The sequence below is a fragment of the Homo sapiens genome, chromosome 1 (assembly GCF_000001405.40).
Source record: "Homo sapiens chromosome 1, GRCh38.p14 Primary Assembly".
NCBI classification, from domain to species: domain Eukaryota; kingdom Metazoa; phylum Chordata; class Mammalia; order Primates; family Hominidae; genus Homo; species Homo sapiens.
In genome coordinates, this window is record NC_000001.11 from 2,584,545 (window position 1) to 2,599,544 (window position 15,000).

A 15,000-nucleotide genomic window follows, 5' to 3' on the forward strand; every position below is an offset into this window, starting at 1 on the left:
AAAAGATCATTCTGATCTCTCTTGTGTTTCTTAAAAGCAGAAGATGAAATTCCCAGGTGAAAGATGCTCTCCCTACACTAGAAAGCTCTGATCCTCAAGGATGAGAAGCTGAGACCCAGCAAATGCTGTACAGTCCCTGATAAAATGCCTCTCACCTTTTCAGCCCCCCACATCATCTAGCTGCTTCCTCAAACCTCACTGTTCTCTGTCCAACTCAGCACACGACTGAGTCTGCTTCACTGGGTCTTCACTTCCTTAGGAGGGCTCCTGAGCCACATCCAACTTTAATCAAATACACTGGCATGATGATCTGTCTTATCTTGATTTAACTCTTGGGCCCAGCCAGGACCTCAAAAGGATGGAGGTGGAGTTTTTCAGCCCCTACATATGCAAACACACACATAGCATGTATCTGAGCGGCCACATGGGCTGGCCCTGCTATTTTCTTATGGCTTCTCAGCCTCCCAGCCACCTTCTGCTCTGCATCACTGGAGCTGGGAGGCTGCAAGCTCCTTTCCCACTCTCCTCTGCCCGTTGGCTTCCAGTGAGGCTCCTGCAGCGATGGCGTTGGTGGGAGATGCCAGGCGAGGAATTGATCTCGCATTCTCGTTTCTGGGAACGTCTCTGAAAATGGCTGAATCCCGTCTGGGATCCCAGCTCCCAAGGAGGCGGCAGCTTGCTCACTGCTTGCACAGCCCCAGACGGCAGAGGGGCCCTCTCCTGCACAGCCTGAGACAGTGGAGGGGCCCCCTCCTGCACAGCCCCAGAAGATAGAGGGGCCCCCTCCTGCACAGCCCGAGACAGTAGAGGGGCCCCCTCCTGCACAGCCTGAGACGGTGGGGGGGGGCCCTTCCTGCCCAGCCCCAGATGGTAGAGGGGCCCCCTCCTGCACAACTCCAGAGGGTAGAGGGCCCCTCCTGCACAGCCCGAGACGGTAGAGGGGTAGCCCTGGTCTCTGGGGGCTGCACTCCTGGGCTCTGGAGCTGCCACAGCTCCTCCCTCCTAGTGCTTCCCCTTCCTTGTTTTGCTTTTTGCCCTTTCTGACATAGTGACGACTTCCGTTTCGCAGTCTGGACCTTCACCACCCCAGGGCGAGGGCACAGGCGAAGCAGCAGCACCCCCCCGGGGCCTCTCTTTATTTGGAATACAGTGTGGGGGCTCCCCCTTCCTTCTCCAGCCCGCCCAGGCCCCTGGAGCTGTCCTGGGGCCTGGGGAGTGAGGACCCGTGCCAGCAGCACAGACTCTGCCAGGCCGGGCCCGCTCAGGTGGGAGCCCAGGCCGGGTGAAGCTGTGACCCGGCCCTCACCCCAACTCGGTGACAAAAGCTATCACAGGGCTGCAGTGGGGGAGGAACAGGACGCATCTGCCAGGCACCTGACCCGCAGTGCACTTCTGGGAGCTGTGCTTATCTCCCCGGGGTCTATTTCGCCCCAAGGTTTGGCGGGTTAAAAGCTGATATGCAACCGGCACGACATGAACAGTATTTCATGATTAAAGACATCGCGTCCATGTATAATTGAGATGCTGCCGCATTTGCGGGGATTTTCAAGCGAAAACCAGGCCACGTGGAAAGGCTAAGCCCTCGCACCCCCCCGCCCCCCACTGCTGGGACCCCCGCCCCGCGGGAGACCCCGGCCCGCGGTCCCCTATGCCCGCGACCCCTGCGCTCACCCTCTCCCCTCAACCCTGAGTCCAGCCCAGTCTCGCGCGAGGCCGCAGGGAGACCCCCGCCGCTCCCTGGACCACCCCTGGGCCCACCGTACCCAGCCGCTCCCCGGCGCCCCCCGGGACGACCCCGAGCCGGCTGCCCGCCTCCCGCCGCATTCCGCACAGGCGCACCGCGCACCGAGGGCCGCACCGCCCAGCTCCGCCTGCTGCGCCAATGGCCGACGGGGTCCAAGTCGGCGGCCCAACGGAGAGGCGGGGCTAGGGGCGGGACCAGGACGCGGGACAGCAACTGTCCCGCAAGGCCCGGATTGAGGAGGCGGGAGGGACCGAAGCAGGCGGACCCAGGATTTGGCGCCGCGATCTCGAGGCTTGGCCTGGAGTAGGAGGGGAAACAAGGCGGGACTAGGGGCGAATCCGAGGGGGCGGAGCAGGGCTCGGGGTGCGGTCGGGGGCGTGGCCGGGGCGCGCTGCGGCCATCTTGGGGGCGGGCCCGGGGCGGAGACGAGCCCGAAGGGGCGGGGCCTCGGCGGCAGCAAGAAAGGCGGGACCGGGGCATCTCGGGGCGGGGCTTGGGGCTGGATCTATGAGCCGGGAGCGGGGATCCAGGAGCGAGGAGCCGGGAGCGGGGAACAGGGAGTCGGGGAGCCGGGAACCAGGGCTGGCAGCGGCCGCCATGAGCACGGTGGACCTTGCTCGCGTGGGCGCGTGCATCCTGAAGCATGCGGTGACCGGGGAGGTGAGGCCGGGTGGACGCAGGGCGGTGGGCGCGTCCCTGGCTCCTTGCCCGGGCGTCCTGGCAGCGATGGGGTGGTGGGGGCCGCGGGGCCTGGGCGGGGCTGGGGGCAACGGGGCGCGCCCATGACCCAGCCGCCCGGCAGGCCGTGGAGCTGCGGAGCCTGTGGCGGGAGCACGCGTGCGTGGTGGCCGGGCTGCGGCGCTTCGGGTGCGTGGTGTGCCGCTGGATCGCCCAGGACCTCAGCAGCCTTGCTGGGCTCCTGGACCAACACGGCGTGCGCCTGGTGGGCGTAGGGCCCGAGGCCCTGGGTCTGCAGGAGTTCCTGGACGGCGACTACTTCGCGGGAGGTGCGTCCTGTTCCCCGCCGCGGCGGCGCACATACCCTTCCCTAAGCTCAGGGCGTTCGGGGCCCTTTCCTGCCCAACCCCGGCCCTTCTGTCTGCTGGAGCGGCCTTGATATGCCCACGGGTCAGCGTCCCTCATCTCTCCCTGCCTCCCCGCCCCGCAGCTGGTGGCTGGGTGGTGCCCTGCACAGACCTGGGCCCAGCAGCAGAGTCTGGACGAGCTCTGCCCCGCCGGCTCCACCTGTTGCCTCTGGGACTCAGCCCCTCTTCTGAGGGGAGGGGGGACACTCAGCCCCGTTTTACCCCTCCCTGCCCTGCGGGGGTGGGCTGAGCACGGAGGGTGGGCAGAGGAACAGAGGGTCGGAAGGAGGAGGGCGATTCTTTGTGGTGAGTGGGTTGGGGGCTGGTTCTGCGCCTGGGGCACACACATGTGGCTTCCGCTTTCCAGAGCTCTACCTGGATGAGAGCAAGCAGCTTTACAAGGAGCTAGGCTTCAAGCGGTGAGTGGGGGCGGGAACCCTTGGGTAGCGTGGGGTGGGGGGCCCAGGGGTTCCCACCGCTCCCTGCCACCTCCTCTCCCTGCTGCCCTCTGTGGTGCTGTCCACTCGGGCCTTCCTGGGCAAGGCGGCTCTGGTGGCACTGTTGACCAGCCCTTCTGCCAGGCCTTCTCTTGGGTGCTGGGTGACTGTAATGAGCCACCTCGTCCGGGGCTTACTCTCGGTGTCCAGACCACCTCGTGGGGTGGAGCCTCGTGGCCCATCAGGGGCCATCCTAGCTTTCTGGTGTCTGTGCCACAGGCTGCTTCCTTTGCTTGGCAGTTGCCAGCTGAGCCAGATCCCTGGGCACACCCAGCCTGGGGCCCCATCCATGCTCCCTGCACCCTCTGTGGACCCTCGGCTAGCAGCCACTGGGCTCGGTGTCCAACCTGCCGGTGGGCTGGGCTGGCTACTGATCTGGTCGCCTGTGCCATCTCTGAGCCCTGGTGAGGCGGGTGGGTGGGGTGGGGCCTGACCTAGGAACTGGTCTCATGGACACTGGAGCAGGCTCTGGACCCAGGCTTCTCCGGAGTTTGGCCAAGCGACCTGGTGTCTTCGCAGGTACAACAGCCTGAGCATCCTCCCAGCAGCTCTGGGGAAGCCCGTGCGTGATGTGGCTGCCAAGGTGTGTGCGGGTCAAGGGTGTACAGGCCGGGGGGTGGTGGGAGCTCCCAGGAGCCTTTCTTCTAGGATTGACTCAGGCTGTACCCACTCCTGACAGGCCAAGGCTGTTGGCATCCAGGGGAACTTGTCTGGGGACCTGCTGCAGAGCGGAGGGCTGCTGGTGGTCAGCAAAGGTGGGTCGAGGGAGGGGCCTCGGCCACTGCCTCAAGGAGGGCCTTGCTGAACTTGGTGGCCCAGCCCAGGCCCTCTCTCTGGCTTGTCAGTCTCATCACAGCCCCTCCGCCGCAATGTGGCCTGGTTCTGCGTGTCTGCTGGGCTGAGTGGGGCTGTGGCAGAACAGCTCACTCATCTGGGTAGCCGGGTGGGGGATATGGCTGGCCAGGGCTGCCCTACCCTCCCTCCTCCTGGTATGTGGCTGTGAGGTGCAGGCGGCCTCCGGGGTGCCGTGACTGCCTGCCCGCTGCTACAGGTGGTGATAAAGTGCTCCTGCATTTCGTCCAGAAGTCCCCAGGCGACTACGTCCCCAAGGAGCACATCCTGCAGGTCCTGGGCATCTCTGCGGAGGTCTGTGCCAGCGACCCGCCTCAGGTGAGCTGGGCCTTGGGGGCGCTGCCTGCCAGCCCACGCCCTGCCCCTAGGTCCCCTGGGAGGAGCACTCGGCTTGGCTGGGAGCTGAGCCACAGCGCTGTGGGCATCATGCCAATTGTGCCCTGGGATATGGATGCCACTGTGACCCCACTTGCAGAGTGGGGCAGGCTGAGAGGGGCCGAAGGGCAGCATGGCTGGATGGACAGGCACCTTGGGACTGTCCTCAGAGGTGGGGGCGACACATGGGGTGGCGGGCAGAGAGGCGTGTCCTCTCAGCCTTGGGAGGGCTGGGGATTGTCCAAGGGGGCCCTCCAGGCATTTGTCTGATCCAGTGTCCAGCGGCCCCATGGGACCCTGCTGTCCCCACAGTGTGACAGAGAGGTGTGAGGGAGGCGAAGGCCCTGGCCTCCGAGGATCTGGGTGGCGTCTGCTGCCCTAGGTGTGCTGGAAGTCCACTTGGAAGAACTGTTCCGGAGGCGCTGGGTCGGGATGCCGAACCTCTCCTGATCCGCCGGCAGCAACGAGCCATTAAAACTGCAGTTCCTGACCACGCACTGCTTCGCAGGCTCCGAGCCCTGCATCCTCCACAGCCCCCGCCTTGCTCACTGTTGGGCCCTCAGGGCGGGCAGGGTGGCTGTGAGTCCCAGGTGTCATCTTCCTGCTCTGCGACTTTCTCTGGAGACCTTGGGCCTTTGGCCTGTGGGGCACTGGGGATGGTAACCTCACTGCCCCGTCACTCCCTTCAAAGGCGACAGACCCAAGCCCACGTCAGGAGAGGAGCGTGGGGTCAGCTCCAGCAGGGTCGGGGTCAGTGCCTGTGTCTGGTGGGGGCCACTCAGGAGAGTTGGGTTTTCAGGGCAGAGATGGGCTTGATTCCACCTGGTGGGGTGGGTGGACCCTGGAGACTCTCAGGTGATGGGCCAGCCTGCCCCAAGGCTCTTTACTGATGTCAGAATCATTGTTTGCACCTGCTGGGTATGGCCTTTGGGGCGGCCGGCCCGGGAGGGTCTTAGTCTAATTAGGTGTGTCCAGCTTCTTGGCCACCTTTCCCTGGGGACCCTAACAGGCCCAGAGCAGAGCCCCTTACCTCCCAGGTCAGACTACCTGCTCAGGCCCTCCCCTCCCATGCAGGCCGATGACAACTGCAGCCCTCTCTGCACTCCCTAGTCCAGACCTGGGGACCACTGTGGGTTCCTGTGGGTCTCCCGGCTCCCTTCCTGCCCCCAATGCCACCCTTGCAGTGGCCATTTAAAAATGCATAGCAGGTGACCCACTGCGTCCCTTTGCGTTCAGCCCCTCCTCTGGCTTTCAGTTACACCAAGCTAAAATTTCAGGTTCCCAGCTGCAGCTCTCTGGGTCCCCCGGTGCCCCAGTGGGGCTCCCCGCATCTGAATGTGTGGTCCCTGGGGGTGGGCACTTGGGGGCATCCTGGTCACTGCTGGCCCTAGCATTGGACCCTAGGAGACCTGACTGGAACTGGCTCCCTCCCCATCAGCTCCCAGCTGTCACTCTCTCCCACCCCCGGGCAGCTGTTTTGCCCAAGACCACTGCTACCTGTTTACCCACCCTGGTCCCTCCCAGACAAGCAAGGCCTCTGATTTCTTTGAAGCATTTACTTAGCTCAAGTCTGAAGCTGTAGATACTGGAAGACAATGCACCTTGGAGGGTGGGCAGGACACAGTTGATTGTCTCTACAGAGCTGTGACGGGGGCACTGAGCCCCGCGGGTGTCTGTGGAGGGGGCTCCGGTCCAGGTACTGCACTGGACACTGCTCATCCCTGGGTGTCAGGCAGGTGGCTGCACCCTAGGCCAGGCGCAGAGGCCTGGCAGGCAGGCTTGGCATGGTTGGCCGGGGCGGGACGTACACTGGGTCGCCGCTAGCTGCACCTTCGCACAGATGCCTCCGAGCAGCGGGTGGGCGTGGGCCGCACAGCGCGGCAGGGCCTTGGCTACCACACGCGGCATCGCTCCTTGGGGTGCATGGGGGTGCCCCGGGCACAGTGGAACGTGTCTGCGAAGGCGGCCAGGTTCTGCAGCGACCCCAGTACCCTGTGGGTGGGTGGGTGTGACAGCAGGAGCATTGCCATCTTGGACAAACATGGCCATTTTAAGTTCTCCGTGATTAAAAACCAGCCCAAAACATCAGCCTAATGGCTCATGTCAGTATGAGCAGAAACATTTCAACCATGAGATAAACCCCCATCTGACCAGAAACATGCCAATCCTGAGAATAACCTCCCCTCCAGCCAGAGATATTCCAACTCTGCAATAAAACTCTCCTTCACACAGAAACATTCGCAGCCTGCGGTAGGCTCCCCCTTCCTAAACCCTTAAATGCCCTTAGTCTGTAAGAGAATGTCCCTGACCGAAATCGGCCAGAAGCCCCTCTCAGGTTTATTCCCAAAATAAACCTGTCTCTGTTGAGCCACTTTTTGTGCTTTCTTCTTTTACAGGCCACTGGGGTGGGGGTGAGGGGGTTGTGGGTGGCAAGGGGGTTGTGAGCATGGGAGACTTGCCTGTACTTCAGGGGACTGTGGACGTCTGTCTTGATGGATTGGATGGCGAACTCGGGCCGGTAGGACCCGCACCACACCTGTGGGCATGTTGGGGGCGTGGCTACAGGTGGCGTGGTGGGGTGGCCAGGAGGGGTGGGGGAGGGTCTCCACTATCCCCAGGCTGCCCCTTCTAGGGTGGGGTGAGGGGAGTCAGCAGGTGCTCCCCTCCTCCCATCAGCATTGAAATCCTGTCCAGCTCCCGCCCCCTGCCCCTCATGCTTTTCCCCCAAGGGGCCTTCCATGCTGGGCTCTGGTCCCTGGAGGTGCCCCAGAGTGGGCCCTCCAGAGATGAGTGGGGAAGCATGGGGATGGTGGGACCAGGACTGCGGCTGCCACCTGGGCATAGTTGATGAAGAAGAGCTGCTCATGGGTGAGATCCAGGCCGGGCAGCTGCTGGTCCTTGCCACCCTCTGCCATCCACTTGAGGTAGGCCTGCAGGCACCAGACAGGAGCTGAGCTCAGGCCTGCCAGCCTGGACTCCAGAACCCTCAGATCTCAGGGCAGAGCAGAGGTCTGGCTCCAGGACCTACCCCTGTGGGGGTCCTGCTGCTGCAAGGGCCCTTCACACACCCCACGGATGAGCGCTCACCACCTCAGTCACTCAGGGACCCCTGAGCTGGGCCCTCGGGGGGGGATCCCTGGCCAGACAGCCCACTGCACACCACCTGTCCCGAATGAGCCCCTGACGCCCCCTCCCCTGAGGCACTGGTGCCCCCCTCCCCTGCAGCGCTGATGCCCCCCCTCCCCTGCCATGCTGACGCCCCCTCCCCTGCTGTGCTGGCACCCCCTCCCCTGCCGCGCTGATGCCCCCTCCCCTGATGCACTGGCGCCCCCTCCCCTGCCATGCTGACGCCCCCTCCCCTGCCGTGCTGGCGCCCCCTCCCCTGCCGCGCTGACGCCCCCTCCCCTGCCGCGCTGACGCCCCCTCCCCTGCCGCGCTGATGCCCCCTCCCCTGCCGTGCTGGCGCCCCCTCCCCTGATGCACTGGCACCCCCTCCCCTGCCGCGCTGACGCCCCCTCCCCTGCCGCGCTGACGCCCCCTCCCCTGCCAGGCCCCACCTTATAGGCTTGCCGCACCCCTCCGTTGTCAGCAATGTTTTCCCCAAGGGTGTTGAATCCGTTCACCTGCGCACAGGAGACAGGATTGGGGCAGCCCCGGCCCTGACTTCCCTCTCCCTCAGGGCCAGGGCTGGGGCTCCGGTACCCCCGCAGCCTGGGTGCTGGTGGCAGCGCTCACGTTCTGTTCGTCTGCCAGGTCCCAGGAGTAGTTGCCGTACTGGTAGATCATGCACTCTGACTGCTCCCGGAAGTGCTGGGTGGAGAAGTTACTCCACCAATCCATCATGTTGCCATTCTTGTCGAAGTTCCGGCCTGGGCAGGGGCAGAGGAGGGCTGCCCACATGCCCCTGGCTGCACTGTGCCTGGCCCCACGGCAGCCACTGTGCCTGGCCGCTCCTGCCCCTCCTGCAGCCAGCCCCAGTACGGAGAGCCCACAGTCTGAGTAGGCTGAGCCTGGAAGAGCATCGCGGGCTCCAAGGGGCAGCAGCTGTCTGGGGCTACACAGCCCCCAGAGAAGGAGGGCTTCAGTGGTCTCCCATGCCACCCCCTGAGGCTAGGGCCTAGCACCTGGGTCCTGTGGTCTTGGAGGCATCATGGTTTAAGGGCTCCTCCTGGGATGCCCAAACTCTAAGTTCCAGGCGAGAGGAGTACGTGGTCCCTGGGGACAAGGACTGCCCACGGAAGGTCCGGATGGCCGAGCCACAGGGGAAAACCAGCTGGGGCCCCTGTCCCAGGCAGGGCAGTCCCCACCGAGGGGCGGAGGTCAGCATGGCCATGGCGGGGGTAGCACACCCCCCGGTGGAGGATGCTGGCCGTCTGGAGAGTCTCCCAGGCTGGGATCTGGGCTTCGCTGCTGTATTGGGCAGTGTTGTCGTCCCCATGTCACAGGCCGTGGGAGGGAAGTGCCCAGTGCCAGGTGGAGTCAGGGTCATGGGCTGGAGTCCCTGGGTCCCCTCCTCCATGCTGGGAGTCAGTGCCCCCAGACAGGGCCCCAGCCTGGCATTCAAAGCCTGCTCTGCCCCCACAGCTCCCTGAGGACCTGGCCTCGGTGTCCCCACTGAAACCGTGAAGGGGTTGAATGGAGCGCCCCCAGGCCCCTTCCTGGCTGCTTCTCCGCGGAGAGGGGAGGGCGTGTGTGATTGGAGGGGCGGCCGCTCACCATTGTCGTCAAAGCCGTGCGTGATCTCGTGCCCGATCACCATCCCAATGCCTCCAAAGTTCAAGGCCTGTGGCTGCTCCTTGCTGAAGAAGGGGGGCTGGAGGATCCCGGCAGGGAATACTGTCCCCAAGGGCGGGACAAAGAATAAGCTGTGAGTGGACACATCTCCTGTGTGCCAGGCTCAGGGATGGCGCTGCCAGGGGTTCTGACACTTGATCCCACAGACCGGGAGGCAGAGGTCAGGATTCCCTCAATTTACAGATGAAGACACGGAGGTTCAGAGGCTGGGCGGGCTCGTGCCTGGCAGACCCAGGACCTCAGTCCGGCCTCCTCCCACCATCCTGTTCTGCCTGCAGGAAAGGCTCTGGGCCGCCTGCCAAGTCCCTCCCGAAGCCGCTCATGGGCACGGGAGTGAGTGTTCCCCACGGGGGCAGCAAGGGGTGACATAGGAGAATGTTCCAAGAACAGGCTGGGGTGCCCCCAGGAGGAAGGGATGGGCAGGGGGCTGCAAGCCACCCCTTCAACTCTGGCACCAAAGGGCCTGGGCAGGCAGGGAGGGGGAGGAACTTACCAATCTGGTTTCGGTTTGGGGAGTAGAACGCATTGACCACCGCCGCCCCGATGATCCAGCTGTGATAGACAAGCCGGTCTCTGGGAGCCGCCTCTCCGGGGACCCTCCCTCTGGGCTCTCTCTGCCTTGATGGACCAGGGCCTACCCTGGCCACACCAGAGCAAGGGCCCAGGCCTATCCCAAGATCTGGTTCCTTCCTGGGGTCCCTGAGGAGGAGGCGACTTGGGCCCCAGAAAGCAGAGGGTGATGGGGGACTCTGTCCAAGATAGGCCCAGTGACTGCACCCCTCAGCTGGCACTGGACCCCAGCCACGCATCCAGTCCCCCGCCTGGCAGGCAGCCCTGCACGCCTTACTGGCCACTCCCTGGCCCCCCCCGCCCATGCCGCACCAGCGATGCCACTCACAGATTTGGGTCCACCTTTTCCCGAAGCTTCCTGAGGCTCCGCTGGGCGCCCACCTTGAGGTTCTGCAGACTGTTCTCAAAGTACAGGTCCTCTGAGAAGTTCAGCTACGGGAGAGGGGCAGTCACTGCCAGATGCTGGGGCCGGGCCCTCAGAGGAGCAAGGGGAGAGGTCCTGGGTGGTTGGGGAAGGACCTCAAGCCTTGCCAGGCGTCCGCACGTGGACAGTCGGCTGTGGGTGCAGGTGAACGGGGCAGCCCTGGCTGTGGGCATTTACATGACTCTGAGCAAGTCCCTCGTCCCTCCAGGCCTCAGTTTCCCCATCTGTACACTGAGGGTAGTGCTGGAGCCACCACCCTAGGGCACGGTGAGGACAGCTGTGTTAGCGCCTGGGAGGAGGGCACAGAGCTTGGCACAGAGGAGCCCCCAGGCAATCAGGGCCCATGTCCACGGTGTGGGGGGCAGTTTAGGGCTGGGGTTGGGGGCGCACATTGGAGTACTCCTCGTCCAGGCGCCTGTTCATCTCCTCCAGGATGTAGTCAGGGTGCCCGATCTGCTCCCGGATGCTCATGGCCTGAGTGGGGAGGAGGGACTGGTCAGTGGGTGCCCCACTGCGGATGGAGTCAGCCCGGGGGCCGGTCAGTGAGTGCCACACTGTGGGAGGGGTCAGCCCGGGGCATCCTGGCTGTGCTCTCCCTGTCCTGTGGTGAGGGGCTGGGGGGCTCCGGGATCTGGCCCCCACCTTGCAGGCTCTGGGGAGGTTTAATGGGGACAGAATATGGAAGGCTCCGCCCACCTGACCTAGAGCCCAACAGCCCGCCAGGGGTCCGGGTGGGGGCAGGGGCCCTGGAGGGGTCACTCGGCTGCCGTCTGTCACTTGGGTCCAGAGGAGCTTCTGGTGGGTCTGACCCTTGCTCCCGAGGCCACCGCTACCCCCGCTGGCTCATGGGGGGTGCTGGGGATGTCCCAGGCCTGGTTCCTGCCCCTGCCTGCTTTTCCTCAGCTCCACAGTGGGCGAGTGGTCCTGTCTGCGCCTCCCGGGGCTGCCTTCTCCCCGTGGGGTCCTGTCTGCGCCTCCCGGGGCTGCCTTCTCCCCGTGGGGTCCTGTCTGCGCCTCCCGGGGCTGCCTTCTCCCCGTGGGGACCGTCAGGAGGCTTTGTCGGGGCGGTGCTGCCCGTGCCCAGATCCAGTCGGGGCTGCCCTGACCTCTGCGAGCCACATACCTTCTCCTGCGCCTTCTTCTTGGACTCCTCGTCCATCCAGCCCAGCTCGTCCAGCGTCTCCACAAACACTGTCCGCACCTTGTCAATGAGTTCTCTGACCTGGGAATCGGGCATGGCCCTCGTGTCCCAGACTCATCTGGAGGGCGAATGACCAGCCTCAAGGGCTTTGGGGAGGTCTGGTCTGAGCCCCGCCGGGGCAAGGCCCAGGGCTGCCCAGCTGTGGGCCTCTCAGGTGAGGTGTGGGGCCGGTGGGGGGATGAGATGACAACCCAACTTCAGGGTCCTCCCTGCTGGGCTGTGGGTCCTCGTGGGCCAGGGGCAACTTGTACCACCTGTGCCTTTCCCAGCTGGACCTGCAGGGCTCAGGCTGGGGCCCAGTGGCCGGCTGGGGTCAGGGGCATGGGGTGGGCACGGCTTCCCTTAGCCTCCCTCTGTCTGGTGAGCTGGGGCAGGTGCCCCTGAGCCTGGGCGGGGTGGGAGTCTCAGGGCAGGGAGGCTCGGTGTCCCTGTGGAAGGCTGGCCCCGCGTGGGCCATGGATGAGGGGCGCCCACCATGCTCTTGCTGTCTCCAGGGAACGCCTCCCTGACGTAGAGGGAGCCCACGGCGTTCTCCATGTTGCTGTTGACGTAGCCCACACATTCACGCCAGCGCACCTCCTCCACCATTGTGCCAAACAGCGCCTGGTGGGGCCACCCGATCATCCCACGGGCCCCCACGTCAGCCTTCCCAGGCCTGGCGTGGGGCCCTGGGCTTACGGGGTGAGCAGACCCACCTATCCTCAGCCTCAGGGTGCCCCGGGGCTAGCGGGGGCACGGGATGATCTCAGCCTCACCTCTGGGTGCTGCTGCGGCGGGGGGAAGGATGGGCATGGTATTGTGATTGGGGAACTTCCGCAGACTGAGAGCTGGGCCTTTACCCTGAGGAGTTGGGGGGGTTCCTCCCCGGCCCCTGTCCTGGTTGTCTGGCTGGACTCTGCTCTCCAGGACTCCAGCCCCAGTCTCAAGGCACAGGGCTGGCGCTGACCCCAGAGCAAGGCCTGGGACCACGTCCCTCTCAGCCACCAGCTCCCAGGGCCCTGGTCTCTCCATTGTTGAAGCAGCTGTGAGAACACCTGCTCATCTGTCCCCAGGGACACAGGAGCACGAGACTCTGGGCCCCAGACTCAGGCAAAGCCCAGGGAGCACTCTGCCCAGCGTCCTGCCACACCTTCTGGGCTGCAGGACTTCCTGCCCTTTAGGAAAGGGAGGCAGCCCTTTCTTCCTCCCCAAAGCTCCTAGACTCAGTGCCCCCCTGACGCTTGACTCACAGATGTCTCTGACCTACCCCCCCATGGCAACAGGAGGCTTGACTTGCCCCCAGCTTGCCTCTGCCTCAGTCTCCCCATTGCAGTGGGGACCTCTGTCCCTCCCATTACTCTAACAAAGGTCTTGAGAGTCCCGACTCCCCTCTGCCCTTAGCCCCTATACCCAATCCCTCAGCTGCTGCGGTCAACACCTCCCCTGCGTCTGTGTGTCTGCCAGCACCATGGCCAAGCCTGTCACCTCACCTGGGTGACCACATCGGCCTCCATGCTGACCCCGCCCCCTACTCAACTCACTCTCCCCAGAACAGCCAGAATCCCCCTAGGGCCTCCCTGCGGTTCCTTGTCTCCACCCTCACCCCAGCCCTGGAGCAGCCACAGTGACTACAGGAGCAGCATATCTGACCGCGTCTCTGCTCTTAGCACCCCTGCGGCTTTCAGACAGGGAGTACAATCCAAACCGGCTGCTGTGGCCCGTGGTCACCTCGCCTCCCTCCCTGCCATCTTCTCCTTCCTGTCCGCTGCTGACCACGGGTCCGGCCCCTGCCTGCTCCTGCCTCTGGCCTCTGCACTGGCACTGGCTGTTTCTGCTCCCGGGAAATCACCCCGCCGCCTCTTCAGGCCTTTAAGGTCTCAAATGTCGCCTCCCCGGAGCAGTGCTCCCTGTCCTCGTCCCTCCCTGCCTCCCCGCCACATCATACTCTGCGGTTTTGGCAGAGCTACGTTCTGCCTTGTTGACTGTCATGGTCCACTCCCCACTGGGGTGGGCGCCTCGCCCTGCCTCGTCCATGGCTGTGACCCTGGTGTGGACCTCGGTGTTTGCCTACAGCTTATGCTCAGCATCGTGGCCTGAATGAATGAGTGCCCGGCCAGGCTCTGGGCAGGGAAGGGGCTCACCTTGCGGTAGTTCACTCGTGTGTCCTTGAATCTCTGGCTTAGGCTACCAATGCGGTCCAGCACCAGGCGCCAGACCAGGTAGTTCTGTATGGTCCTGGGGGCAGAAGGTAGAGGGTGAGGGGAGAACAGGTGAGAGGTCTTTGCAAGGGAGGAGATATGGCTTAGGGCCCTTGGCCAGCACGTTCCACCCCAGAGAGTTATGGGTGCTGGAGAAAACCTCCAGGACAACCACCTCCAAGATCCAGCCCATCTGCCCCGGGTGCTTGGGATGTGACACATTTTTAATGTAAGACTCCACTGGCCACTAAAGCTTAACCCCTCATGTCCCACACCCCTCAGGGCAGATGCTTCATAGGGTCCCCTCCTGGGAGCAGAAGCTGTGTTGGGGAGGATGGGAGAGCAGGGGCAAAGATGCTGAGGCCTTTGGAGACCCTCCCTGGGCCTCACCTGGCTGAGTAGGTGTCGATGATGTTTTCAAGGTTCTGCAGGTAGGGGATGCCATAGACCACCACTTCCTCATCTGGCAGCAGCTTGATTTTGACAGAGGATAGCACAGTTTGTATGAACAGAGTCCAGTTAAATCCCTGCAGATAGAGGAAGTGGGGAGAAAGAGGGAGAGAGAGAGAGGGAGAAACAGTTCCTGGGAATCTAAGAAACCCAGCCCCTGTTGAAGAATGTTCAAGGAATAAGAGAGAAGTGCAGGTAATCAGAATCAGGAAAGGGTGGGTGACATTATTACAGAGCCTACAGCTGTAAAAACCCAAGCGATCATGCAGATATATGCGAAAGCCTAAGTATAACAGGCAAGTTCCTAGAAAAACACAACTTAGCAAAAATGACAAAAAAAGAAATAGAAAATATGAATAGTCTTCTAGGTTAAATAAATGGAATATTTAATTTGAAACTTTCCAATAAAGAAATTTCCAGACCCATTTGGCTTCACCAGTGGATTCTATCTGACATTTAAGGAAAACTGCCAATCTTATTAAAACTTTCCAGAGATGAGAAAATGCTTTTCAACTTGATTTATGAGGCCAAGAATAACCTTGATACCAAAATAAGGATATTATAAGCAGAGTAAATAATAAGCCAGTCTCGTTTATGTCATAGATACAAAAGTTCTAAGCAAAATATTAGCAAATAGAACCTAGCCATACTTGTATAAAATGCTAATATATCACAGCTGAATTAGATTTATTCAAGGAATACAAGTTTGGTGTAACATTTGAAAATAAAATAATTTTAATTCACTACAATAACTGAATAAAGGAGGAAAGTCACATGATTATTTCAACAGATGCAGAAAAAGCATTTGATAAAATCTGCCATCTATTCATA

At 62.6% G+C, this 15,000-nt stretch overlaps 2 protein-coding genes across 13 annotated transcripts in view, besides 1 other annotated feature; one reads left to right on the forward strand and one right to left on the reverse strand.

Annotated features, from left to right (window-relative positions):
- The first annotated feature begins 1,978 nt into the window (after positions 1–1,978).
- Positions 1,979–6,924, forward strand: PRXL2B (peroxiredoxin like 2B). Of its 12 annotated transcripts, none has more exons than NR_036637.2 (7): positions 1,979–2,047; positions 2,547–2,751; positions 3,197–3,248; positions 3,846–3,909; positions 4,006–4,081; positions 4,378–4,496; positions 4,866–6,924. NR_036637.2 is itself a non-coding variant. In XM_047445405.1 (7 exons), the coding sequence occupies exons 1-7, from the start codon at positions 2,252–2,254 to the stop codon at positions 4,933–4,935; spliced, it is 813 nt and encodes a 270-aa protein (XP_047301361.1). In that variant the 5' UTR covers positions 2,233–2,251; the 3' UTR covers positions 4,936–6,924. The 12 variants fall into 12 exon arrangements, 10 of the variants coding, with proteins under 10 accessions (XP_047301361.1, XP_011538967.1, NP_001182665.4 ...); NR_036638.2 differs by having other exon boundaries at positions 4,410–4,496; XM_047445405.1 differs by lacking the exon at positions 1,979–2,047 and adding an exon at positions 2,233–2,404 and having other exon boundaries at positions 3,792–3,909; positions 3,986–4,081.
- Positions 3,041–3,673: an enhancer, noted in NCBI's record as "H3K4me1 hESC enhancer chr1:2519024-2519656 (GRCh37/hg19 assembly coordinates)". NCBI's record gives its function as "activates a minimal SCP1, AML or CMV promoter by ChIP-STARR-seq in primed H9 embryonic stem cells {active_cell/tissue: H9 hESC(primed)}" and the evidence as "EXISTENCE:reporter gene assay evidence [ECO:0000049][PMID:30033119]".
- MMEL1 (membrane metalloendopeptidase like 1) overlaps positions 6,095–15,000 on the reverse strand; it is a 42,378-nt gene continuing 33,472 nt past the window's right edge. Inside the window, exons 12-24 of the mRNA NM_033467.4 lie at positions 14,110–14,246; positions 13,663–13,756; positions 12,017–12,145; positions 11,465–11,563; positions 10,732–10,815; positions 10,246–10,349; positions 9,841–9,899; positions 9,270–9,389; positions 8,289–8,422; positions 8,111–8,176; positions 7,388–7,483; positions 7,013–7,089; positions 6,095–6,545 (exon numbers count right to left, since the gene is read on the reverse strand). Of these exons, the coding sequence (NP_258428.2) occupies positions 6,446–6,545; positions 7,013–7,089; positions 7,388–7,483; positions 8,111–8,176; positions 8,289–8,422; positions 9,270–9,389; positions 9,841–9,899; positions 10,246–10,349; positions 10,732–10,815; positions 11,465–11,563; positions 12,017–12,145; positions 13,663–13,756; positions 14,110–14,246 (1,299 nt within the window). The 3' untranslated portion in view covers positions 6,095–6,445. The remainder of the gene's footprint in view (positions 6,546–7,012; positions 7,090–7,387; positions 7,484–8,110; positions 8,177–8,288; positions 8,423–9,269; positions 9,390–9,840; positions 9,900–10,245; positions 10,350–10,731; positions 10,816–11,464; positions 11,564–12,016; positions 12,146–13,662; positions 13,757–14,109; positions 14,247–15,000) is intronic.

Bases quoted from the DNA above. Each gene is read 5' to 3' on its own strand.
- PRXL2B (XM_047445405.1), top strand. From the start codon at position 2,252: ATGAGCCGGGAGCGGGGATCCAGGAGCGAGGAGCCGGGAGCGGGGAAC. The intron at 2,752-3,196 runs GTGCGTCCTGTT...TCCGCTTTCCAG, and splicing joins CGGCGACTACTTCGCGGGAG to AGCTCTACCTGGATGAGAGC. The intron at 3,910-3,985 runs GTGTGTGCGGGT...GGATTGACTCAG, and splicing joins TGCGTGATGTGGCTGCCAAG to GCTGTACCCACTCCTGACAG.